We start from the raw sequence: 27,556 nt of genomic DNA on the forward strand, positions 1-27,556 counted from the left end.
TGGCCTCAATGTGGCATGTTTGGTTTCATGGGATTTACTATGGCTGCCTCCAAGTGTCTGATGCATGTGTGACCTCGGATGCCAAGAGAAAAATTGATGTGTGCTTTCCACTATACAGGGCCCAAGAGAGACTCTGTTTGATTTAGAAAGCATTTTCATGAGGCATGGTTCAACAACTGCAGTTCTTCCTTCTATCTTCATGAGGATATGTCACTATTTTCAAGTGAAATCTAGTCACATGAAGGACTGACTGATGCTATTTTCTTCAAATATAAGTGGAAAAAAATAAGCCTATAGCTACAATGAGAATAGGGGAGCACTTTGATCAAATGGCTAAGTAGTTAAAGGAGTTCCCAGTTTATACCTTCTAAAGAGATAGGACAGAGAGGAGTTGTGTGATTCATGTGGGTTGCAGGGTGAGCCACTCTTTCTTCAGGGGCGACTTCATTGTGCAAACATCGAGGGTTTCCATCCATCATGCTAGGTGAGCTCTTTCTTCCCTTCACCATCGATACCCTAAAGAATATTATCAAGATTGTCTCTTACTATGATCTTTTCTCCATCTCTAACATGTGGCCTAAGTCCTGGAATCTCCACTCAGTGCCACAGTTGTGAGACTCCCCCAGCTCTGATAGAAGGAATACTCCAATCCTGGTATTGTGAGTGAAGGACAGTGTGACAGAAATGGCTCCACATTGAGAGACAGCATATTTCCACTATGGTGGGTATCAATCCAGAACCATGACCTATATTTTGAAAACTGGATTTGAAATGAGAAACCTTGACACTTCAGGAGCAAAATTTAAGCAACTGAGTCTCTTTTTATGACTCATCCTAATCCTATGTTGTTGTTGTTGTTGTTGTTGTTTTCTTTTTTCTTTTTCTTTTCTTTTTTTTTTTTTTTAGACAGAGTCTGGCTCTGTCGCCCAGGCTGGAGTGCAGTGGTGTGATCTTGGCTCACTGTGACCTCTGCTCCCGGGTTCAAGCGATTCTTGTGCCTCAGCCTCCTGAGTAGCTGGGGCTACAGGCGTGCACCACCACGCCCAGCTAATTTTTTTATACCCTTAGTAGAGACAGGGTTTTACCATGTTGGCCAGTCTGATCTCAAACTCCTGACCTCAAGTGATCCGCCCACCTCGGCCTCCCAAACCAACTCCTATATTTCTAACAAGCTCAAAAATCATGAAACTCTTCCAGTGCTGAAGTCATTTGCAAGTCACAGTTCAGCTGATGGTTAAAAAGCTGATGTAAATAAATGCATACCAGTTAGGTGATGTGGAAAACCAAATCCAATTTGATTATGTCAGGCTAACTCTGAGCTGATTAATACCTCTTCAAGTTAAGCAGGCTATGTGGAAACATTTTGATGTTGTCCTTAACCTGGAAAAAAAGAACCGTTTGAATTTAGTTCAGAGAAAAAGCACACTTTGAAGACTGATTTTGAAGTCAGTTTTCTTTTAGCGTTGTTATTTTAATTTGCAAGAAGGTGTCTGCTCTTTTTAATTTCAGTGTTTAGAAATAGTAAATTGGCAATCTCAAAGTCACATTTTATTTCCAGCATGTGGTGTTTTAATATGTACCTCGATGCAACAAACCCCTGGTCAGCAAATATGAAGCAGCTCACTAAGGTGTTGTCCCCAGCACTGTATAAAAGCAACTGAATCATATCAACTGGAGAATCTGAAGCTTTAAGATTGAGTTCTTCTCTCTTCAGAGTTAGCTAGTCAAATTTCAGCTTCAACTTTTTGTTTTTGTTTTTTGTTGTTGTTTTGTTTTTTGTTTTTTGAGACGGAGTCTCGCTCTGTCACCAGGCTGGAGTGCAGTGGCATGATCTTGGCTCACTGCAACACTGCAACCTCCACCTCCTGGGTTCAAGAGATTCTCCTGCCTCAGCCCCCCGAGTAGCTGGGATTACAGGCATGCGCCACCATACCCGGCTAATTTTTGTATTTTTAGTAAAGACAGGGTTTCACCATGTTGGTCAGGCTAGTCTCAAACTCCTGACCTCAGGTGATCTGCTTGCCTCGGGCTCCCAAAGTGCTGGGACTACAGGCGTGAGCCACTGCGCCTGACCTCAACTTCAACTTTGATCACATTCTAATCAATGAACTAATTGAGAGACTATAATTGTAACAATTTATCCTTGTCCCTTTTGCTGGAGTGCCATTTGCTGGAGTGTGGTTTGCGCATCTGGAAGTAGAGCCTCAGAAATCATTTTAGTCACACTGATTAACCCACCTATAGAATTTAGTTAAATCTGAAAATTAGCATACCCACAAATAGCACTTCTACACTGAGTCACAGAACTGTTTAAGTGAATGGGCTATTATCACATTTAGTTTATTGTGATTCGATGTGGGTTTAAAAAAACCTTTTTCTTTGAAAATTGTGATGTTGAAAAGAATCTCTGCAATAAACATATATTCCTTTCCTAACTTAGTCTAATATGGTGAAGGTTGTTAGAGGCTGATTCATTTACAACTTCATCTATTCAGTGAGTATTTACCAAACACCTACTAGACGCCAGTCAGCTCATTAGCACCGAGGATACAACAGTATTCAGGACAGTTGAGATTCCTGTCTGCTGCTTAAAATCTAGCAGGGAAGATAAATTGATATTAAACTTTAATTACTGTAGAGTTTGTTGAACGGTATTACAGAGGAAGAACTTATTTGGTGTGCATAGCGGGGGAAACTAGACTAGGGCTCTAGAAAGTTCTCCATAGAGAGGTGATATCTAAGTTGTACTCTGAAGAATGGGTAGAAGGCAGCCCAGGTGAAACCATTTTATCAGACTCTTTGCTTTTCTTCAGTCCAATGTGGTTGTTATATGGTTGTTTAGCTCTCCAGATAAAGAGCTAAGGTTTCCTATAGGCATTCTCAATGGGATGCTACGATAACTGTGATTAGGATTCTCAACTTCAGTGCTCACTCTACAACACTGTAGTTGGGGAAAATAAAGACAGTCGGGCTCTGTATTGCACTATGGCTTGTGCTAGGACATTTTGAAAACCATAGGTTTAAAAAAATAATTTCTACTAGCCACTTTTCCTGTGATTTTCCTATTTGTCCTCTGAAGGCCAAACGCATATTCAGTACTTTATAATGACCTGTCAGCTGATTTGAAAATAAAATGGGAAGCTGGGTGCAATGGCTTATGCCTGTAGTCCCAGCTACTTGGGAGGCTGAGACAGGAGGATTGCTTGAGTCCAGGAGTCCAAGATCACCCTGGGCAACACAGCGAGACCTCATCTCAAATTTTTAAAAAAGCGAGAAAGAAAATAGAATGAGGGAGACCCTGTTTCTGGTTAGTCGGGAAGTTCTCATCTCCCTGTTTCTGGTTAACTGGAGTATTGTTATAAAGAATTACCTTCTCCTGGCATAAGTTGATTGCTTTAGAACTATTGTCTAAAGTGTCAGTAGTAAAATTGTCCTAAAATGTGTAGCAAGCGTGTAAGCATTATCGAATGACAACACAGTTACTTTCTATTGGAATACTAATGTCTCTGTGTTGTCGGGTGGATGAGCTTCACCAGGAAATATAAATATAAAAGAGAAAAGCTGCAAATGATCACAGGAACTAAGGGAGGAAGCTATGCCGTTGTCTGGGTAAAGTGTGCCTGAATCCAAAATATCCCAGAACTGGGGTGGATATTGTGTGAACAGGGATCAGCAGTCATTGGCCAAAGAAATGGGGAAATAGAAGGTGCATGATTTTGTTCCATTGTTCCAGTTTTGAGAGTTGGAATTTGGATGAGGAATAGCTTTCAAGTCTTCGCCCTCCAGCAGCCCTCTCATCACCTAGCATGGCTTTTCTAGGTGAGTGCTTTAAAAGAGCGTGTAAGGAGTCACTTGACCTTGATTTCCCCAGATAGTTCTTTGCAATTGTTAGCCCCCAAGAAGGCTGGTTGGTTTTTAAAAGAGGCTGGGTGAGAACTGCTCCCAAGAGCAGGGCAGCTGAGTATGGCTGTGCAGTCAGCACACTGCACAATGGTACCCAGCCTAATGGGGAAGGAGAAGCTGAAGTCCAAGCCAGCCGAAGGAAGGATGGTTTTCTGCAATTTATCCATGCTGGGGGTAGAGGGGGGCACCTGTTTTTAACTCACACAAAAGCACCATATGGAGTAACTGCTGCCTTGCTCAACCACTTTTGGACTCATGCTCACAGCTAACTCTATGAATTATTAAACAAAGAAAAATGGGTAATTCTAGGTGGGTTTTTTTAGTGTGTGTGGAAAGATACGTCTGTTCAATCCAAATCTCCTGCTTTCTAGGCTGCATGCCCACTTCTACAAAATATGGTTCAGATGTTACGAAGCAGTATCTTCACCTTGACGCTTTCCAGATAAATCGTTGTGATTTCCTGTGGGAGATAAGATCTGAGTTAGGCTCGCAGAGTCTCTCTCTTCCAAGGCTGTCCTGTCTCCAGGTTCACATGCCTGCTGTGGCCAACTGACTATATATGCGACACTGTACCAGATTGCAGGGCCATATGCTGTTTTCCCCTGGAATTCATCCCAAGTCAGTATTTGACTAGGTCCAATGCTGCCAAATAACTGTTGGTAATGTACAGTTCACCCTTCCCTGCCTGGCTACAACATGTCCTACAGTCTCCAAACTAATATCTGGCAGCTCTGTGTGTATTTAGCAACTTACAGATTTCCCTGTATTGATTTACACAAGGGTTTATTTTTAAAATTAAAAAAATAGTAAAAACCCTAACATTTATTTATCAAACATTTATCAGATACCTACTCTACATAAGGCTCTGTGTCAGCTTTGGGAAAAATACAAAACATAAGATATTGTTCAGATATTTCGCATGAGAAGCAATGTGTGAATATCAGTAGTTGCATATGGTTCAACCTCAGATTGTAAGCCTAGAGTCAGAAGACCTAAATGGAAGTAAATGAAGCTCCTCCATTTACTAAATACGTTACCTTGAGCAAGTGTTTTAACTTCTTTCTTTTCAATAAAAAGAGAGATTGGCAAGAATGACTCTAAGATCCTTCTTTCAGGATGTTAAGATCTGACACTCACAACAACCCAATAAGCTAGGCTGTATTATTTTTCAACTGCTTTTTAGGAAACTAAGGCTTAGAGAGCTTAAGTGACTCAAGACCACCAGCTAAAAAAGTGGCCAAGCCAGCATTCTAGCCTGAGTTTATCCAGTTGCTATTCTTGTATCATTTCCAAACTGACTCTTCATAAACAGCAAATCAAAGAGGGGGCAAATCCAGGGAGAAAAAGAGATGCTACAGTGATAACTGGAAGCACACTGAAGGATTTTTGTGTGGAGATAGCTGCATATGGACAAGGGTTATGAAATCCTTTATCAATCATTCTTCACTGGGACAAAGCTAAGGTGAGCAGAACTCGACTGTCATCATTAAAGCTCACAACCACAGGCACTGAAAAGTAAGGAAAACACTAAGCTGGAACTGAAGTGCTCTTTTGATACCCACACTCCTCCCCACCACATAATTAACATTGTCTTCTAATAAAGGAGAGCATATTTTTCCCTTTTTTGAGTGTGTGGCTATGTGTCATCCTGGATATTCCGGCTACTCTAGCTGCTGTGGCTAGTGAGATATCATGAATTCTTTCACAGTTGCTCCAGGAATTCCTACGAAGACTGTGCTAAAAAAAAAAAATAATAATGTCAGATGGTTCAAGAGGTGGTTCTGCTGCTGACAAGGCCCCAGGGGGAAGCTTTCAGGATTCAGTGGCATGAAGTTGTTTTATTAGCCTCACTGTGTTAACAGCCCTCCTACAGTCCCAGCCCAGTGAGAGCCTATGTATGAAACCTTAAATCCTAAAGGGACCTTCCTTATAAGGGACATGTAGCACAGTCCAGTCACTTGATAGATGAGGCAAGTGACCCAGAAAAAAGAGGTTATTGCAATTAGTTACTGCACATTAGAATCACCCAGAAAGCTTTTAAAATCCTAATTCCCAAGTAACACCCCAAAAGAATTAAATCACAATGTTTGGGGTGAAAGCCAGGCACCACCATTTTTTAAAGACCTCCCACTGATTTCAATATGTAGCATTTTGCAATTAATGAGCTAATGGTTTGCCTAAGGTCATACATCTGGGGACAAGAACCTACCATGGTTCAACTCCATTGTTTTTAGCCAAAACTGGCCCTTGTCTTAAGACATCTTGAGAAATGGTGGAGGAATAAACAGTCAAGCCCTGCCATGATGATGCTATGCCAGGCACTTTCTTAGTTTATCTTTTGCAACCACTCTTCAAGGTAGATACATCAGCTCTAGTTCACCATGAAGAACGTGCATGTGTTTTCATGTAGCCTGTGGATCCTTGCTAAATGCGAAGGCAGGCTCTCTGAGACTGCCTCAGGGGGACTGCAGTGGTGCTCACTTTAGTTGTCGAACGTGCAGTGACATTCATTCAACAAGTGTTTATGGAAGGTCTACAGTGTGCCAGGCATTGTCCTAGGCTATGTGGATAAAATGATGATGAATGAGGTATATAAGGCTCTGTCCTCCCAGAGCTTGTTAGCTAATGAAGAACCCAAAGTCATAACTCAGCAAGTCCAAAATTTTAAGGTTAACACTGCGGTGGAAACTTGTTTTATTCATTTTCACTGAGCCTTGTTTCTTCAAGACTTGTGGCGGCAAAAACACACATAATGAAGTTGTTAGAATATAAATAAGAAACATAAATCAAGACTAGGGAATATATAAGTAAGAGTAGAGTCAAGAACAGAAGAAGAAAAATTTATAGTCATGCAAGTCATGAGGATCCACTTGGGCTGAACCTCAAATTTGGCATTAAGTATCCTGGCAGCCATATCGAAAAGGGAAATGTGGTTAGTTACAAAGTTCTTATTGTCAGAAAGAAAAAGAATACAAGTTCCTTAGGGAAGGAAAGGCTTTCCTAATACTTGGCTCTTGAAGGAATGTCTCAGGCAGAGCTTCATACAGCCTCTAACAATATTTCTACTAGTGACTACAAAAGTGGATTTTATAAGACATAGCTTGTAGCATCCTGCAGTAAAAGTGAGAACATAAAACTAAAGTGCAATTTAATAAATTCATTTATGTTAGGAGTAGGTGGTGAGAGGTAAGTTGATTTGAGCCAAATACAGGTTCAGGTGAACCTATGACTAGAAGCTGGAACACCAGGGAATGGAGGGATTTTATATCCTTATAACAATCTACATAAACATAATTTCTCTCTACTGAGATTTTGATAATTCAAATGGTTATATTTTCTATCTTATGCTGTAGGGATAAAAGGCAAGTATTCTATGTTGTGAATAATGTAATGCCTTATACCAGGGGTCAGCAAACATTTTCTGTAAAGGGCTAGGTAGTAAATATTTTATACCTTGGGGGCTAGATGGTCTCTGCCACAACTATTCATCTCTGCCACTGCAGCACAAAAGCAGCCATAGACAAGATATAAATGAATGGACACGACTGTGCCCCAGTACAACTTGTTTCATAAAAGTAGGTGGCAGGTCAACTTCTTACCTACAGGCTACATAGTGCCAACCCCTAGTATAACCTAAAAAATAAATGCGATTATTGGTATTCTTTCATTGAAATTCAGGAACAATTGGAAACTTTGCAAGTCTTGGTCAGTGGTAACTTTGGCTTCATAGTTTAAATGCTATTGGGTGATGACACATGATGGAAAGAACATGGCTCGTGTCTGGGTTGCAAATTCATTAAGTTCGTTGAAAGAACATGCAGATCCCAAAGCAATCCAATACAGCTATTCACACATAAAAGGGGGCCTCAGCAGACATGGTGCTGGGATTGTTGCAGCACAGAACTAGGCTGGCTCTAAAGAAACCCTTACATTCCATGTGGAGAAGGAGAATTAATGATGTTCCTCACCTGGAATGGTCTTGAAAAGCAACATGGATTCTCAGTTAAGATCTCATGGTTAGTTTCCTAGGAAAGAGGGAAGATGCTGGACCATTTCCAGTAGGCTGATGCATGCTATTCACATCTTTGTCATCTTTCCAAGTGAGAAATCTATTCCAGGCTACCAGACATAGGTTCTAACAATCTTCTAGGCATGTAGCATGTAGTATAGTCAAAGACATTATAATTAACCTCAGGGGAAAACAATAACATTATTTCATTTTTAAAAGGCTTAGTTATGAGCAGATAACACATGTTTATAGTTTGTTATGACCTGAATTCTTAAATTTCCCCTCACTGGCCAAAAATGAATCTGAGAATGTTAATTGTTTAATGGGAGGTACTTCAAAGGGTTGAGTCTGGGGGCTCATCAGAAGAGGTAATCCCAAGTGACTTGGAATCTGCAACAGGTGGGTTAGGACCTCATCCTTAGATATTGCTTTAACCAATTTATGGGTAAGCCATAGTTCTGAGCAGAGTCACGTGCTCACGCGCCCCACGTGTAGTGACAACGGGAATGTAGGCTTAAACATAGGTAACAGCTTCAAAAGAGTTTGTAAAAACAAGGCTGTGAATATCAATATAATTGTGAGACTTTTGGGGATTTATTGTAGGTTTGAACGTAACTTGAAATACAGTGATTTGTAGACAGTCAGTAATTGCTTCACTTGCTCCATTTGGAATTTTGTAACTATTCACTTCTCCAGCAGCATAAGGTGGTTAAGAAGACAGTTTCTGTTCGTTGTAAAAAATTACTCCAGGCTTAAGGAGGACAACTATTGTGTCTTTATATTCATATACCCAGGATTTAGCACAGTGCCTAATCCATAAGGGCCACACTAAAATGTTTGCCCAGTGAATAAATCCTGGATAATATCATCCTGTCTGCAAAGCCAGTATTACAGAGTGATTGGTTGCCAGTAGGGGAGATAGCTCCCTTTGGTTACACAAATTGTGGCAGACATTGAACCACTCCAAAAGAAACTAAAGCTATTTATTTGGGGATTGAAACAAAAAAGCCTACACAACTTGAAAAAAGCATAAAGACACTCAGATGGAACCATAGTGTCTCCCAGCAGATATCACCAGATGGGGGTGGGGGTAAATAATTGCAGTCACATATGCAGCAGGTATATATATTTTTACTAATGGCTTATTCTTAAACAGGACTTGAGGCCAGAGAAATTTCAAGGATAAATTGCTTTGGGAGAATGCCTGATATCAATGTCTCCTGAGACATAGAAGTTTTCCAAAATAACAAATCACCAGATATATTATTTTGTTGCCTCCTCTTCCTTCCCCTGGCCCCTGCCAATATGCTTATTTACAAGAGTTACCTTATCAGTTGTCTTAGGAGAACACATTTCCTTCAACAGAAGTCACAGTATCATCTTATGGTCATAATTTTACAATATCCCTGCCTCTACTGAGAAGAGATACATAGCGAATGGAGATGTGCTGAGCCAATGAGGAATTAATCCTAGGCAGCACTAGTAGATGTGGCCACAGCTCTGGCCCCACCCCACTCTGGTGGTCAGGCCAAAAAAGAAGTCAGGTAAGAAGTGTGAAAGGAAATTCAATCTTGGGACCCCCAAACTCATTAAGCCACAGGGAAAATTCAAGCTGGGAACTGGGTCACGCAAACATGCCTCCCCCTTTTGGTTCCTAAATAAGATGGCTACAAGATGAAAAGCTACATGCCTCCCCCATATTTTGCCCACAAGGGAATTCCCAGTGAGCTGCTAGATCTTTACACTAAAGGTGTTTCTATTAAAATTTCACCATGGCAATATAAATTGATAGTTTATAGATGCAGTCACCCCTGGCCCACCAGACACAAATGCATATCTGATTGTTCCCCTGGCCCAGTTTTGTCTGTTATCTTATATAAAATGCAGATTCCCTGCAATTTTCCTCTGCCTCATTTGTCTGTGTCATCTTATGTTAAAAAAAAATGCAGATTCACTGAGCCAGACAAAGGCATGAATGACTGTTTTTCCCTACCCACCTCTTACATGAAAATTGTGTACTTCTCAATATCCTGCCCTTTCCCCTTTAAATTTGGAGCCTTCAAAATCATCTTTGGAGAAAGGCATAGACCTGTCTCCTAGGTGTGCATCCTTAACTTTGGCAAATAAACCTCCTAAAATAATTGAGACTTGTCATTTTTCTCGATTGACAGAAGAAAAGACAGAGCCAAGAGGATGGCAGTGTACTTGGCTACCCCCAGAGCCTAGCTGAGGCTCCAGCCCTGGGCACTTCACTGGAGCATTCCCTTGCCAGCAGAGGAACCTGCAGCCTAACCTCATGCTGGGGTAACCTTAATGTGGGCAATCCGTCTTACTGTAATAGACAAATTGCCTGCTTTCACTTAATCCACAGATTTACAAGGGACAAACTTTGGCCCTAGGAATATTTATTGAATATCATTTCATCCCTGTGACTTCCACTTCTTTCTGATTCCCATATCACCAGCCCAAGAGAACTTGAGTATCTGTTCACAGCTTTGCTCCTCTTTCCCCACATTAACCACAAAGCAACGGAAATAGAATAAAGAGACAAATGGGTAACTCTAAGTAGGTTCATCACATTCATTACATGCCCTGTATCCAGAGCCAATATAAATGGTCTTGATTCTGATTGTGTTGAGGTATAAAAACATGCTGATTTCTGTGGCAGGTATTAATGATTATTACTTGTGTATTCATTTGCTCACTGCTCCATTCTGGATGTTCTTGGTCTCAGGGCCTAAGGATCATTTTCTCGGATGCATCACGGCTCATCTTCCGGCTCAGTTCCTCCAGTGGTGTGCGGGCCACCCTCAGACTGTACGCAGAGAGCTACGAGAGGGATCCCAGCGGCCATGACCAGGAGCCACAGGTACAGAAACAGCTGTGCTCCCAGCAGTGTGTCTCGCAGCTCCTGGCAAATTTAGAGAGCTCCATGGGCCTTTAGTGGGGCTATTTTACCTCCTGGAAAGGTACATGATAATTTCAGCTGGAGGACAAGCTCAGGGCAACTCCAAGCAAGTTTAATTCGTTCATTACAGTGTTTGAAACAGAAAAATTGCTCTCTCGCATCTATTTGTAATCCGTTTAGACCAGCATTTCCCAAACAACTGTCCTCTCTTGACTGTTGAGTGGTTTGTTAATTGGGGTAAAGAAAAAGCACCTTTTATAGACAAGGAAATTTAGCGTTAGAGTCAAACTGGTGAAACTCTCAGAGCCTTGACTACGCTTATGTAACTTTTGAATCTCCAGACATTTGGACCATGACCTTGAGGTGCCAATACAGATGGGCTTTGTCTCTGAGATTGCTACATTGTCCACTCTGAGAGGAGAGGATATAGGTGGCCTTTTAAGTTAAGGAAGCACATTGACAAGGCTAAGCCAGACTGTTTGGCAAAGTCTCCTCATGTTTTCAACAATAAGGCTAATTAAGAACTCAGAAAAATCATAAATAACACAACCATAAGCCTCTCCACTCCCACATTCATTAAAGCTCCAGCCAACATTAATTAATACCAGAAATGACTCACTTTAATGTTGGGTACTTCAAGCTATACAGCTGGCTGCTCCTGTCTTCTTGGTGTCTTCAATCTGGGTTTTGAAGCAAGGTCCTTGATAAGATGATTTTTTCAGATGAAAACATTGGTTCTACCTGCCATACTTCCTTTGTGGAAAAGTAGAGAAACAGAGAAATACTCACTGCTACTCATTTTAGAGGTGCTCAGAATTTCTAGCTATAATTTGCCCTGATGGAGTAAGATACCTGGCAGGCTTTTCTTTCTTTGTCAGTAGTTTAGGGGTTTTTTTGTTTTGTTTTGTTTTGTTTTGTTTTTTTCATGGTCTGTTTCTTTGGAGAGTCTCAAAGAACTTGGCAATAATGGGTGCTACAGATCCTTACACCTGACCCTACAGCCAGAAGATCTGTCTGGAGTAAAATCATCCTAGATGGGACAGGAGAGGCTGGAGGAGGCTGAGAGCTATTCTCAGGGTTACCAAGAGCATGAGTGGGCAAAGCAGGTGGCCAGCATGAAGCCCTTGGCTCTTCCTCTCAGGATCATAGCCTTTCCATGCAGGGGATGGGACACACTCTGCCAAAATAATTGGTTAGTGCGTACATTTCTCCCAAGATAGTACCAAATCATGCAAGAATTTGGGGCTTACCCTGTCTTTCCAAATAAAACACTATTCTACATCTCATGTTGGGGAGGGAGATTAAAGCAGGGGCCTAAAAGTCCAGAGCTACGTACGTGAGGAATGATATTCCTGGCCTCACCAACTCTGACTCACTCTGACTCCGGGCTATTTTTTCCTCAACATTCTTTTCCCTATTTGCACAGGGCAAGTGGCTGTGATATTTGCTTATTTTTATTTACCCTCCGCACTGGACTGAGACCAGGCCATTAGACAAGTGTCACAACAATCCTATACACACAAGAGTCTCTCCCTGAGGCAGTCCACAAAAGCAGTGCTTTTTTTTTTTCTTTTCCCAAGGCTTCCTTTGAAGCTGAAAGTCTCCATCAGCCTACTCTTAGAAGGTCATGTGAGTAAAGGAAACATAAGTCATGCTGGTTTTGGTCCCCATGACTGCACATTTCTCATCCTGTTGGTGGAAAGAATTTGCCACTTTGAAGGGTTGGCGAATCCCTTCACTGACGTTGCTGTTGGAATTTCTGATTTCCCCTCCCTTCTCCTCAGAAGCAAGAGTTTTCCTAGACCTGGCTCGATGGGCCCCCGAGTATGTAGCACATGATCTAGCTAAAAGTTTTACATTAAAATAGAACTCCTTGTTAAAATACCATACATCATTGACTCACCAACTTAAGCCCTATTGCATAATACATTTGAGTCAGGATATAACATAGAGTAAGATTTTAAAAGAAATCTAACCACCTAGGGGAAAGCAAGAAGATTCTCTCAGCAGGCCAACCTGTCTTAATTACTGCTGAACTCTACCTAAGCCTTTAAGTGGGAGCATTTTGAGGGCTCCTTACAGGGTTGCTTTCCAGGACCACCTGCTTCTGCCTTCTAAAAAGCCTTTGATTAACTGTTGAACAGAGATAAAAGTAAGATGTACTCCTGAAGCTGCTAGTGTTATTCCTGATCAGGGCCTGACTGGAAAGACCTGCTTGTGTTGCTTTCTCAGCTACCAAAAGAACCCCTTCCACCTTCTCTAATCTGCAGAGATTCCATTGCTGATCTTGTTCCAATTCAACAGGTAGTTTTTGATGTTTTACCCACTCTAACCCAATAGCCATCTACACTTAAATTATTTTGCAAGAGAACAGAGAGTTCCCTTCAACTGGCTTATTAATATCTGGCTATTTTACTTTGGCCATGGATAGTTTCTTTTCCAGACATTTTGAACACATGTGAACAGAGCATGTTTTAAGCATTTACACTGATTGCCTTGCAGACATACTCATAACAATCCTAGTGATGCAATTAGGAAAACTTGTGATATAATCTATATGCATTTAGACCATACTCACATGTAGATTTTCCATTTGCATCCTTTTGTAGAACAGTGATTATGCTATTTAAGTTAATATCAATTTCTTATCTACATCAAAAATATTTTTTAAAAATTATATCCATATGTGCCTACGAATTGGTGGTAAGGAGAGGATGGGCCGGGGAGGGCCCTGATGAGATGGGCAGGTTCTTGCCCTGATCCCACTCTGTGTCCTTGGTAAATCAGGAAGGAAAGCTTCCAAAGGCTTGTTGCTGGAAGACTACCTAGTTTTTTAAAATACAAGTTTATTTTAATTTTACCAGCAATCAGTAGGCCTTCAATGAGCCCTCAAACCAGCTGGTAATCATTTGGAAAAAGGAATGAGCCAAAAGGGTTTAAAATCACAGGTAACCAGAAACAGTACAATTGTTTCCGTTTTCTTTCCCATCCAATTTATTAGCAGGGCTGCTATTATTAGCTTCTCGTTGACCTTCTTCCCTTGTCCCTTTCAGCCTGTGGGTGGAGTAGTTAAGGAACAATAGAAGATCCAAAAGGAAAAGGAAGGAGAAGTTTTGTTAAGGGCTAGGAAAATCACAGACTGATAATCAGCCCGTGGCTAATCAACCCTTGGCTTTAGTACTTTCAAGGCAGAATACAGTCACACCCGATCTCACCCCAGTCCTTGGGAGGGGCCTGATTTTCCCCCAGTCTTCCTGAAAATTGAGGAATTTAAGTATTTGTTTGTTTGTTTGTTTGTTTGTTTTTTGAGAGGAAGTCTCACTCTGTGGCCCAGGTTGAAGTGCAGTGGCATGATCTCAGCTCACTGTAACCTCCACCTCTTGGATTCAAGGGATTCTCCTGCCTCAGCCCCCCGAGTAGCGGGGATTACAGGTGACCGCCACCATCCCTGGCTGATTTTGTATTTTTAGTAAGGACAGGGTTTTACCATGTTGGCCAGGCTGGTCTCAAACTCCTGACCTCAAGTGATCCACCCGCCTCGGCCTCCCAAAGTGCTGAGATTACAGGTGTGAACCACCACATCCGGCTTTAAGTATGTATTTTTGATAAACTGTACCTAGAAGGCTTTAACAACTAATACCTAAGAACCAGGTCCCTCATATTTATTCACCTGTCAAACCAAAGGTCATCTGTCATTTTGTTCTACCTGTTCTTAATAAGACTTTGTAATCCAGAAATAAAGTATAGAGCCATTTTGTTTTACATAGGAAGAACATATGATTTGTCATCTAAACCAGAATACAGATGCTCCTAGATTTACAACAGGGTTACACCCCAATAAACCCATCATAAGTTGAAAATGCATTGAATACACCTAGACTGCAGAACATCACAGCTTAGCTTAGCCTACCTTGAACAAACTCAGAACACTTACATTAACCTATGGTTGGGGAAGATCATCTAACACAACCCCATTTTATAATAAAGTGTTGAATATCTCATGAAATGAATACTGTACTGAAAGTGAAAAAATCGGTGTATGGGGACTCACAGTATGGTTTCTACTGAATGTGTATCTCTTTCACACCATCATAAGGTTGAAAAATCATTAAGTCGATCCAGCCAAAGTTGGGGATCTGTACTTTTGTGAGCGAAAGATAATAATTGTAATTATGTTTAGATTGTCCCCAATAAACCAGGAGACATGATTACTCTAGCTACCAGCCTGCATCCTCTCTTAGAACCGCATCTCTTTGGAGATGGCTTTCTAAGAAAACTAGCAATGAAACCTGGAAGGAAAGAGGGAACATACAGAAATGAGAAGAGTCAGCTCAGAGGTTCTCAACCCAGGCAGGCTGCACATCAGAACCACTCAGGCAGCTTGGTGAAAGTACCCATGCTTTGGCCCCAGTCCTAGAGATTCTACTTTAATTGTTTTGAGGTGGGACCTGTAGTTTTTAAAAAATTTCCCAGATGATATTAATTAGACAAGTGCATCTCAAACTAATTACCGGCCAATCACCTTGGGAATGTGTTAAAATGTGGATTCTGACTCAGGTATGAGGAGGGCCAGAGATTTTGCATTTCTAACAAGCTCCCAGGCAATACTGTGCTGCTGGTCCAGGAGCCACCCATTGAATAGCAAAGAGCTAGGTGAACTGTGAAGTGCTAGCAGCAGGACCTTGAATTCTTTAAAACTGTAGAATGAGCAGCACCTGTTTTTAATACCATTCCACACATCGATCTCTGTCTTCTAGACTTCTATTTCTGTTGCTTATTGGATTCCACCTGAATGTCTTATAGACATCACCAACTTGACATGTGCAACACTGATTTCCCGCCAGCCTCCTGTGCACTCCTCCAAAACAAACTCCAGCATGCTGTTTCTTTCATTCTTCTCCATCTCAGTAAATGGCAGTTCCTAAAACATGTTAGACCACCTCATAGCTCTGATAGAATCCTCCCCTCCACCTCATTTAGAGAAGAGCCCAAACCCTTACCATGATCTTGAATGACATACTGGAAATGGCCCCCTTCTCCCTCTGACCTCATTTCCTATCTCTTTTCCTGCTTCTTTCTCCACTCCAACCGCTGTTTGGTGAACATGACGAGAATGCTCTGCCTCGTGTTAGTTACGATGGCTGTTCCCTCTGCCTGAAATGCTTTTCCTTCTGACATCTGCATAGCTTGTCTCCTTACTTCTCAGTAAGGGTGTCCCTGGCCACCTAATATAAAATAGCCCTCACATGCAGGTACTTCTTACTTCCCTACCCTGCTTTGCTTTCTCCATGGCATTTATCCTCATCATATATATATATATTTATTTTATTTTATTATCTGTCTCCACCCAGTAGAATGGAAGCACCAGGAGGCTGGGACTTTGTCAGATTATTTCCCTGTATCCCCAGTGCACCTGGTACATGGTAAATGCCCAACGCAGTTTTGCCAAATTATTGCAATATTGACCATTAATTACTTTGGAATCTCTCAGCCCAATTATATCACACAGGAAGCTGAAATATTCTGTACTCAGGATGAATGTTGGTGCTATCATCAGGTTTCCTCCTATGACTGAGGTCTTGAATAAAATAAATGCCATTTTTAAGGTCCCTACAACATGCAGGCTCCATTCTAAATACATCCTTTATCTTATTCATCGTTCCAGTGGCCTCATGGCAGAATTATCCTGCTTTGCTTTTGCAGGAAAGGAGACTGAGTCAGGAAGCAATTCAGATTCATGGAGTAGGTAATTTCTGGATTGGAGGTTTAAACTAAGTCTTTCTTATAACAAAATCCACATTGTCCATGTTAACGTTGAAGGCCCAGAAGAGAATTTCTTTTTATTTGTGCTTGAGTCCAAGGCTACCTCTGGAGCCTCAGTACAGTGTTATTGAGAGGTTTTTTCCTCAGATCAATCAATTCTGTGATTCCCTGACACCAACTGGGTGCAACAATTCTATTCAAGTCAGTTCTGACATTATCTGGATTTAGCCCAGACCCCACAAGTTAAGGGCTCAGTCTCACAAGATTGCTCCTACTAGGAATGCCAGCTGCAAATGGGGTGCACAGGCTACCCACATTTTTGCCTTGCCAACTACAAATTTAGGGTTTTCTACAATCCCCCTTCAGATTTAATAATTCACTAGAATGACTCACTGACCTCAGAAAAGTGCTTCGCTTAGCATTACTGGTTTATTATAAAGGCTAGAACCCAGAACCAGCCAAATGGAAGAAATGCTTAGGGCCAGGTGTGGAGAAGGAGTGTGGAGCTTCCATGCCCTCTCTGGGTAAGACAGCCTCCAGCACCTTGATGTGTTCACCAGCCTGGAAGCTCTTCAAACCCTGTTGCTGAAGTGTTCTTATGGAGTTTTCACTAGGTAATTATGGTTGATTAAATCATTGGCCCTTGGCGGTTGGATTTGGTCTCCAGCCCTGCTCCCCTCCCTATAGGTCACGGGGTGGGGCTGAACATTCAAACCCTCTAACCACCTGTTTGGTTCCTCTGGCAGCCAGCCCTCCACCTGAAACTATGTTGGGGCCCACCAAGAGTCACCCACTAGCATAAAGTCTGCTGTGGCTGAAATAATAACAAAGACTCCTATCATTCAGGAAGTTCCAAAGGTTTTAGGAGCTCTGTGCCAGAAATTGAGGACAAACACCACATGTATTTGTTATTCCACACTGTTAAAAGAAGTTTAGCCTAAAGCTGCCTCCTTACATAATTTAAGTTTGGCCTAAAGGTTTTTCCATACATAGTGAACTATGACCTAACTGGATGTGTAAACAGACTGTAACCTACTCTTGTGACAAGTAGCTGAGTCTCAGCCAATCACAGTGGCTGAGTTTCAGCCAATTACAGGCAGCCACTTTTTCAAAATATGTTCAAATAAGGCAAAAACTGAGCTGTAACCAATCCAGCTATCTCTGGACCTCACTTCTGCTTTCTGTACTTCACTTTTCTTTTTCTGTTCATAAATGTTATCTGACGTCGTGGCAGCTCCAAGTTGCTCTGAACCTATCTGGTTCTGAAGGCTGCCTGATTCAAGAATCGTCCTTTGCTCAGTTAAACTCTTAAGTTTAATTTGTTTAAGGTTTTTCCTTTAACAACAGTTGTAAAAGTGAATAGCGTCTTAAAAACAACCAGTTTTCTGTACTAATTTTGAATTAGCAATGAATAGGATTCAGAAACATTATGAAAATAATAATGTTCTAAATACATATTGGATATCTTTTCTAGTTCATAAGGGATCTAGAGTGAGTAGTCAAAAACTTGGAGAATAAAGTAGAAATGGATATAATACATATGATGTGAAAGAGAAACAGAATGGAGTTCAGAAGTGATGCAAATCCACATTCACTTAGCCATTCACTTTCATGACAAGACAAAGATTTTTGTATATGTATATGTGTGTACATGCATGTGTGTATGAGAGCAAGATTTGGGGATCATACTAGGTATATATGATTTAAAGAGCTAAAAGTTGTGCCTCGGTCCTGGTTTTGGGTCAAGTTTGGATTACAGTTTATAGCCCCCCAAACCCTGAAAAAAATTATATTTCCTCTCCTTACTTTCCCATATGTAGTTAAAAATGAAAACAAATTCAATTTTAAAAATAAATAAAAGATGTTGTTATTTAAAAAGAAAACCTGAGCAAGGATATATTAATAGCCATATATATGAGGGAAAACATGAGGAAATACCTCATTTTATTTTTCTCCTCAGAATTTGGTCGGTATTGCTGCACTTTGGAACTATGGGGGAGGGCAAAGTGTTGAAGAGAGAGTTGAGAAGAGAAACACTTGGTGAAGAGTTGGGCTCTAAACTCTATGACCAAGTTAAGGAGCTGGCTCATTCCACTTAGACGAGAGGCGTGACTTGGAGGTCTTCAGGAATTTAAGGAATAATGTGAGGCGGGAAAGATGACCAGCTGTTCTCCATAACTAATGAATATGTAATTTGAGGAAATAAACTCAAGCTGAACTGGAAGGGATTCACGTTGACTGTTAGAACAATTTCTCAACTGTCAAGACTCCTGCCCAATTAGGATGGCTAGTTTGTGCTTTTCTAAGTCTCTTTGCCTACATATATTCAAATAATTTTAAAACAGGGGCAAGAGTAGAAAGTATTGAGCAGGATAATGTCTCAAAGTATGTGTCAGCCTTAAAATTTTAGTTCTGTAATTATAATTTTTTTTTTTTTTTTAAGAAACAAGAAACAAGTTCTGGTCAGGTGGGTTAGATTTCCCTCTAGTGGTGTTGAAAGGAATTTAGTATGGCTGTGTTTTCATAACTGGCTCTTGGGGCGGAATTAAACTTGGAAAGATGCAAAGATGTATAGGTTTTTTTCTATTTCTGCTTAGATGAGTACTTTCTGGAAAGGCAGACAAAACGCCAGGGCAAACAGTCCTTCTTTTTCTTCCTTAGATATTGAAATCTGGACTCATACTCTGCCGTTACTACATATTGTTTTCCCTGGAGCTGAGAACACTCCTTGGGAGGGTTGGTCATCTGATGGCATGTGAAAAACTCCCTTGGTTGGGAATCTGGGAGATTCCCTCAGGGCCTAGTGTCTATCATAGACCAGGGCTTTTTACAGTTTTGATGACAATAAGCCTTTTTCTTGGCCAAACATTGTGATCAGATCTCCTTTCAAGGTACTGAGTATGTGAAGCCCTGTGTATCCACACTCCACATGGTCTAGGACTTGTGGGAAACTATGGACTGCCACCGTGAACCACTCATGTTAATCCCACAGACAGAGCCCATCTCAAATCTCTCTTTGTGGCAATATATACAAAAGAGGCCCTTAATTCCAAATCTTGCAAGAATACCGGCATTGCCAGCTTATCCCGAGAACCAGTGGTCTTAAGAACAGACCACTGAAGAGCCAAAAGGCATGCCTTGATCCTGGCTTTAGGTCAAGCTTGGATTACAGTTTAGAAAGCCTGGACCCTAAAAAAAATTATATTTCTCCTTTCTACTTTCCTATATGTTGTTTAAAATAAAAAACAAAATTAGCTTTAAAAATAAATATAAGGAAACCTAAAAATGTTTTGATTTTTTTCCTTATAATGCTATTCTAATTTCTAAAATATTAAATATCAACTTCTTACCAAAATATCTTTTGTTTTGGTGCCAGTTTTACCATGTCTAAAGCACATGCTTAACCAGCTATTGGTTAACCCAGTGATGTTTATATCCACAAATCACCAAGTCTTGCTGGATCTTGTTTACTCAGCCTGAAAAAGGAGCATGAATGAATTTGCAGCGGTCACACAAGTCCAGAGGTCACTGGTCATCACTTCTCTTGCCAGATGGATGGGTTTGACAAGCTGTGTCCAGCACAATCTGCCTTTCCCAGCAGCCTTTTTGTTCTAGCCCAGATGCACAGCACAACCACATTTCCGTGCCTTTCAGGAGAAAGCTACCCAGGTCTCATGAACTGGTGGTGATTCAGGTTTTCTTTGAAGTGGTGTCCTTCCTTGGTGTACAGTAAATAATTTGCTTTGCTTATATAATAAACAAGAGTGTATCTTAACAAATGGGGACTGACAGTGAACCTGGAGGTTGCCTGTGGCCTTCAGAAGGAAGCTCTGGACTAGTGTGTGCAATTAGCCAGCATCTGGAAGCAGCTTTTCCTGGGCTTCCCAACACGGTCATGCTTCATTCACATGGGGAATACAGGATCTGAGCTGTTAAGGGGAGAATGTGGCTGTTTTTGCTCTCCCGTCTACTCTTGGCTGAATTTAAGTTTGATGCCCTAATCCCAGAACGAGAACTCCTGTTCAAGATGCAGGTGAGGGAGTTTCCCATCCCTTGTTTTTGACTCCCAGGAACGCTGGCAGGCCTGACAAACTCCAGGGAGGAGCATCTCAAAGCCAGAATGCTTAGGCCTTGGGCAGGAGGGAAAGCTGTTAAAGGTTTATACAATTCTGGTATCGTGTTTGTGTTTTTGGTTTTACTTTTGAGCATTTTTGTTGGTACAAATCATCACTTGGGACATACTTTGGCAGGTTGGGCCTGTGTACTATACCATCATGATATGAGATGGAAGGTAGATGAGGCTGACAGAGTGGCTTGAAATGTAGACTTCATTATTATTCAGGTATGGGGAGGCCAACAGATGATGAGATGACGGCCATTGAAGAGATAGTTTGTTACTCACAGTTCCCAAGAGGAGGGGACCCAACACGCCACACAGGGCCACGCAGGGAAGCGCCAGCGTCGGACAGGAGGCAGCATGAGCAAAGGGAAAATGTGGGTGAAGCCTTTTTGGAGATTCTCTGGGAAAGGTAAGGTAAAGCATGATGAGAAGGTTTAGGATTAGCTTGTTTGAATAATTTCAGCAGGCTCTGGGGCACAGGGACTGTCCCTAATTTGCTGGTACCTAGCCTTGGGGTGGTTAGGGCAGAGAAATAGTGGCCCAAGTGTGAGAGCCCTGTGAGGGTCTGAGAAAGGAAGTGTTTGGTTTGCATCTGAAAGGCAAGCTCCAGGGTGTGTTGTTTGCTGTCTCTAAGAATTAGCTAACCCTGGGAAGAACAAAACCTTCCAGAGTCAGCCAGGCCCCAAGATGTCAAAGCATTAGAATAAAAACACCAGCTTAACAGCCAGAGGAAAAGATAAAACCACTGTCACTTTCTCAGGTGGGTAAAATTGTTAGGGAGCACCCCAACAAGATTTTGTTTTTTTCACATACCATCAAAGCTGGATGGCCTCTGATACAAAGGTTGGGCTTTGAAATCAGCATTTTTTTTTTTTTTTTTTTTTTTGAGACAGAGCCTCGCTCTGTCACTCAGGCTGGAGTGCAGTGGCGCAATCTCAGCTCACTGCAAGCTCCGCCTCCTGGGTTCACGCCCTTCTCCTGCCTCAGCCTCCCAAGTAGCTGGGACTACACGCACCCGCCACCACGCCCGGCTAAATTTTTGTATTTTTAGTAGAGATGGGCTTTCACCATGTTAGTCAGGATGGTCTCGATCTCCTGACCTCGTGATCCGCCCACCTCAGCCTCCCAAAGTGCTGGGATTACAGGCTTGAGCCACCGTGCCTGGCCGAAATCAGTTATTTTTGTTTTGAGTCCTAGTTCTGCCATTTTCCAGTTTTGTGATCTTGGGCAACTTAATATCAGTCAAATTGAGATAGATATACTTCTTATTTTATATTGTTGTAATGATTAAATCAGATAATTCATATATGTAAAGAGTTTTGTACAATGCCTGTGTAAATCAAAGAAAATGACCAAGATGAGTCTCAATCGTTTTAGAGGTTTACTTTGCCAGGTTAAAGGTCATGGCCTGTGACACAGCCTCAGGAGGTCCTGAGAACATGTGCCCAAGGTGGTTGGGTTACACTTGGTTTTATACATTTTAGGAAGATAAAAGTTACAGGCAAAGACACAAGCAACACATGTAAAGTATATATTGGCCTGGCCCAGAAAAACAGGACATGTCAAAGAAGGGGAGGCTTCCAGGTCATAGGTGGATTCAAAGATTTTCTGATTGGCAATTGGTTGAAAAATCTAAGCTTTGTCTGAAGAGGTAAAGTCAGTATAAACAAATGCTTGAGTTAAGATAAAGAAAGTTGTGGAAGCTGAGGTTCTTGTTATGTGGATGAAGCCTCTAAGTAGCAGGCTTCAGAGAGAATAGAAGGTAAATGTCTCTTATTAGACCTCAAAAGGTGTCAGACTCTCCAGAGAAGATCTAGCAAGGGAAGGGGATTCTCTACAGAAGGCCGATTTCCCCCACAAAAGATGGCTTTGTAGAGCCATTCCAAATTACGTCAAAGAAATATATTTTGGGGTAAGATGCTTTGATTTCCTTCAGTGCCTGTTATCTGTCATCTGATGCTATATCAGGGTCAGGTTGGAATTTGGTATCTTACTGCTACAAAGAGTCTGTTCTGTCAGTCCTAGAATCTCTAAATGTCAACAGCTAAGCTCCAGAGAGGAGGATATATTGAGGCATATGCTACGCCCTTTTCCTGTTATGGCCTGAACTAGTTTTCGGGATCCTTTTGGCCAATGATTAGGGGCAGGGAGGAGATGTCCATTCAGTCAGTTTGGGGCTTAGAATTATATTTTTGGTTTATACCTGACATGTGAATAAATGTTCAATAAATGTTGATTGTCACTAATGTTATTGTTTTTGCCTTTTTTTTTTTTTTTTTTTTTTTTTAGATGGAGTCTCACTCTGTCACCAGGCTGGAGTGCAGTGGTGCAATCTCAGCTCACTGCAACCTCCACCTCCCAGGTTCAAGCAATTCTCCTGCCTCAGCTTCCTGAGCAGCTGGGACTACAGGCATGCGTCACCATGCCTGGCTAATTTTTGTATTTTTAGTAGAGAAGGGGTTTCACCACCATTATTTTTATTAATAATGGTATTGACTCATTTTCTTATCACATGAGGATAAAAGATTCCCAGATTACTTAGCAATTTGTTTTATAATGCAATTGACTTGTCCTTTTCCCTCCCATTAACATCTCAGAGACCAAACTGGATCTATGAGAAATGTCCCAAGAGAACTGACAGCTTCTAAAAACCTAGGTCTTCTCTGAGAGCTCCCAGGGCTCTCATGACATGGCATTTTAGATGTACCATGCTTTGTCAGAAGGTTCAAGGATGAAGTGGAGTTTCTCTACTTGTCTCTCCATTCATGGAACAAATTCACTGCCCTCCTGGCTTGGAGTAAGAGGTAGTGAGTAGGGGTTGTTCAATGATTTCATTTCATCCAAATAATGTGCAATCTGTTGGTTGTTCCAAGCTCTTTTACCAGAGAGAAAGGGCTTGAACACTGGAGTGGGTGTGTGATGAAAGGCAGGTTCATTGAAGAAAGGATGCCTGAAGTTTCTTTGACTAGCCAGGAGGCATGTGCTCTCTGGCTTCAAGGGATTAAACAGAAAAACTGGTCCCTTGGAGCAGGAGTCAAGTTTTTTCTGAATAGGCCCAGAGAGTAAATAGTTTAGGCTTTGCTAGCTGTATTAGTTTGCTAGGGCTGATATAACAAAGTACCACAAACTGGGTGGCTTACAAAGCAAGAACTTGTTTCTTATTCTGGAGGTTAGAAGTCTGAGATGAGTGTGTTGACAGAGCTGGTTCCCTCTGAGGGCTGTGAGGGAAGGATCTGTTGATCTGTTCCATGCCTCTCTTTTTGGCTCATAGATGGCTGTCTTTTCCCTGTATCTCTTCATTATCATCTTCCTTCTTGTGTGTCTCTGGGTCCAAATTTCCCCTTTTAATAAGGACACCAGTCATATTGGATTAGACCTCACCCTAATGATCTCATTTTAACATGAGTACCTCTGTAAAGGCCCCGTCTTAAAATAATGTCACATTCTGAGGTATTGGCAATTAGGACCTCAACGTATGCACTTATGGAAGACAAATTCAACCCATAATATTAGTCGTATGGTCTGTGTTACAACTTCTCAACTGCCACTGTTGCACAAAAGCCGCCACAGGTAATACATAAATGAATTAGTGAAGCTATATTCCAATAAAACTATAGGCACTGTAATTGACTTAAGATAATTTTAACATGTCACAAAATCTTATTTTTTTCCCAACCATTAAACATAAAAACCATTTTTATGGCTGCACCAAAACCAGGTGGTGGCCAGGGTTTGGCCTAAGGCCTATAATTTGTTGATCCTTGCCTTATAGGTTTCTGAATATGACACGTTATTTACAATTTCTGATTACATTCAGTACAGCATGTATCAACATGAGTTTGGGTAAACCATACACACTATAAATTTCAAAATTACATTTGTATTTGTGTATATTTGTATACATAGATGAATTGTGAAGTTTTAGGGAAAAAAATATCAAATCTCTCTGGAAATCTCCAGCATGAGGCTTCTGAGGTTGAACTCCATAGCTTTTGATTGCAACCAAACATGAAAGGGAAATGATTATGTTTGTATTCATGAAATCAAATTCCTTTTTCAGGTCTTTTGTTTCTTGTCAGAAGGGTTCTTCATTTTTCTTTTTAAAGCAATTGCTTACACATGATTTTCAGAAGAGCAGCACTATGTCAGAAGAAAAGGGAAAAACGTTAAGAAATAAATGGGATGAAAAAAGAAAAGTATGAATATGAGCCCTGGTGAATTCTTACAAAGAAAGGGAAGCAAACACGTGACATTCAGTAGTGACCCCAAGCCAGGGAGTGCTGTGACATTGCATGTCCCTGTGAATGGGGCTTCCGGGAGCTGATAACAAGGTTCTAGTGCATTTCAGTCACATTAACAGTGATCCTCAAACCCAGTCTCCAAGGAACCTCACCCCATTTCCCTAGGAAGTAGCAATTCTGTTGTTTTTATTCTTTCTTTCTTTGCTTTTAATTATATTCTTGGGAATTACAGTCAGGACAGTCAGTGTGGTGTTTAACAAAAGCTAAGATACTTTGATGATATACTGAGATTTCCCAGTTATACATTTTAGACTGTCTTTGACCATGTAAGTGTTTCTATATTGTTGAATCAAGCCGCTGGCTCTGACTCATATCAGCCCATGTTTTTCAGAATTTGCAGTCATTATGAATTCACTTTCCTTTTAATGGATAAGATTTGATAAAAAGCTTAAAAGAAAGTACTTTTACACTGTTTTTAACAGCGCTTTATACTTTTGCTACACTAAAGGTAGTTCTTGGACTAGCAGCATCAACATCACCTGGTTGCTACTTAGAAATGCAGAATCTCGGGCCCCAACCCAGATCTACTGACTCAGATTCTGTATTTTAACAAGCTCCTCAGGTGATTCATGTGCACATTAAAGTTTGAGAAGTCCTAATGCTGGGCGTGGTGGCATTAGCCTATAAAGTGCCATCTACTCAGGAGGCTGAGGTGGGGAGGATCCCTTGTGCTTAGGAGTTGAAGACCAGCATGGGCAACTTAAGGAGGCCCTATCTCTAAAAAAAGAAAACTGATGCTGGCTGTACTGGCTTAAACCTCCAATCCCAGCACTTTGGGAGGCTGAGACGGGTGAATCACCTGAGGTCAGGAGTTCGAGACCAGCCTGGCCAACATGGTGAAACCCCTTCTCTACTAAAAATATAAAAATTGGCTGGGCATGGTGGCAGGTGCCTGTAATCCCAGCTACTCAGGAGGCTGAGGCAGGAGAATCGCTTGAACCTGGGAGGCGGTGGAGGTTGTGGTGAACCAAGATTGCACCACTGCACTCCAGCTTGTGTGACAGAGTGAGACTCCATCTCAAAAAAACAAGCAAACAAACAACAACAACAACAAAACTGGAGGGAAAAAAGGGCAAGAAGTCCTGTGATGGATGACCTTTGGGATCCTTATTTCCACCTCTGCTTAGCAGGACTGACATTGTCTCCACACCAGACAAACCCTCTAATGCCAAACTAAATAGGATGCATTTATAGGGGTGCCTGGCCTCTATTTCTTCCTCATTTAGGAAAATCATAAAGCATGCAGAAAATAACCCAGACAAATGTGCCAAGATCCTTGAAGACTTGTTCCTGCTTCTCAGGTCAATTAACAAAAAAAGAAACAAGAAAATCAGTTTCAAGTTGCATCTCCATAGAAACCCTTTCTCAATATCAACTCAGCAGTGTTAGACAGTTTTCTTCACACAATTATACTAGTTGAGCTGAGAGATTCAAAATAACAGTGGATGAGGTAAAGAAAGTTCTAATTTGATTTTGCCAAGGCACAAAGCCTTGCTAAAATTGTGGGTAGACAGTCTAGCACACTTCAATTACTAGGAAAAGGTCAATTATTTAAAACACTTTAAATATGTTAGGTTAAATGGCAGCTGAGTCTAAAGGCAAAGGCCATAAAAGAACATGTTCCTTTGTCCAAACTGCATTCATAAAGTGTGCATTAACCATCCATTAATTTCACTAATAGTCTTTCTATTGTGGGGAAGAGTCTCTCCTCGTTTACAGGGCTCATTTCCATGTTTTTAGTGCCTGGTGTTAATGACTGTCCCACTACTGCCTCCTCCGTAAGACTCAGGTGGCCCTCACGGCAGAAGTTCTCTTCTAGTTTGCTTCTGCTACTCAACTCTGCCACTCAGCTTTGCTCAATGTGGAAGTCCTTGCTAACTTCTTTAGAATCTGATACACCCTTAAGGAATGTGTTCCAAAAGCTATGATGTCTGTTCCTTCTGTTGTCAACATCACCTTACGCAACTGCAATCTGATTGTACTCTCTCTGGCTGGATATATAGGGCCTGTTGCACACAAACAGAAATGCAGGCAAGCTTTCCCCCACTGGGTGTGTCACTGACCCTCTTGCTGACACAGAGAGATGTTGCCTCTGATTTGAGTGGCTTTCTCACTCCAAGAGCTGGGAACACCCCAACATTCTTAATCTCTTTTTATTTTATCTTTTATCAAAAAGATAACATGAACTTTATTTTATGGGCAAATAAACTTAAGCTAGAAGGGTTGTTGACTATCTACCAAAGGTCAGCTTATTGGGACTGGTATGCTGGTCCACTCACCTGTAGCCTACTTTTCTATTAATAGCAAGTCAGGCTTCTGTCTTCAATGATGATGATAATGGTAATAATAATAATAACAATAGTATCAAGTGCTTGCCCCGTATGGGGGCTAGGCAGAATGCTATGTGTTTTGTGTGTGTTATATCTCATTCTCACCACAATCCAATGCTATAGGTAGTCATGCTATCCATCCATGTTTTACAAATAAGAAAACTTTGGCCCTGAGAATTTGAACAATCTACTGTTTCTAAACAGTGTCCCTGGTATTTGAAC

The 27,556-nt window shown here is 41.3% G+C and overlaps 1 protein-coding gene and 1 long non-coding RNA gene across 3 annotated transcripts in view; one reads left to right on the forward strand and one right to left on the reverse strand.

Annotated features, from left to right (window-relative positions):
* The window catches only part of PGM5 (phosphoglucomutase 5), a 174,451-nt gene that overhangs the window by 131,970 nt on the left and 14,925 nt on the right, over positions 1–27,556 (forward strand). For both annotated transcript variants that reach the window (NM_021965.4, XM_047423473.1), the window contains exon 10: positions 10,647–10,781. In NM_021965.4, the coding sequence (NP_068800.2) occupies positions 10,647–10,781 (135 nt within the window). The remainder of the gene's footprint in view (positions 1–10,646; positions 10,782–27,556) is intronic.
* On the reverse strand, positions 10,301–12,104 carry LOC124902174 (uncharacterized). The gene is made up of 2 exons (XR_007061565.1): positions 11,440–12,104; positions 10,301–10,873 (listed from the first exon to the last, which is right to left on the reverse strand). It is a non-coding gene; the product is annotated as an uncharacterized LOC124902174 (long non-coding RNA).

Source organism: Homo sapiens, chromosome 9, assembly GCF_000001405.40.
Source record: "Homo sapiens chromosome 9, GRCh38.p14 Primary Assembly".
Lineage (NCBI taxonomy): Eukaryota > Metazoa > Chordata > Mammalia > Primates > Hominidae > Homo > Homo sapiens.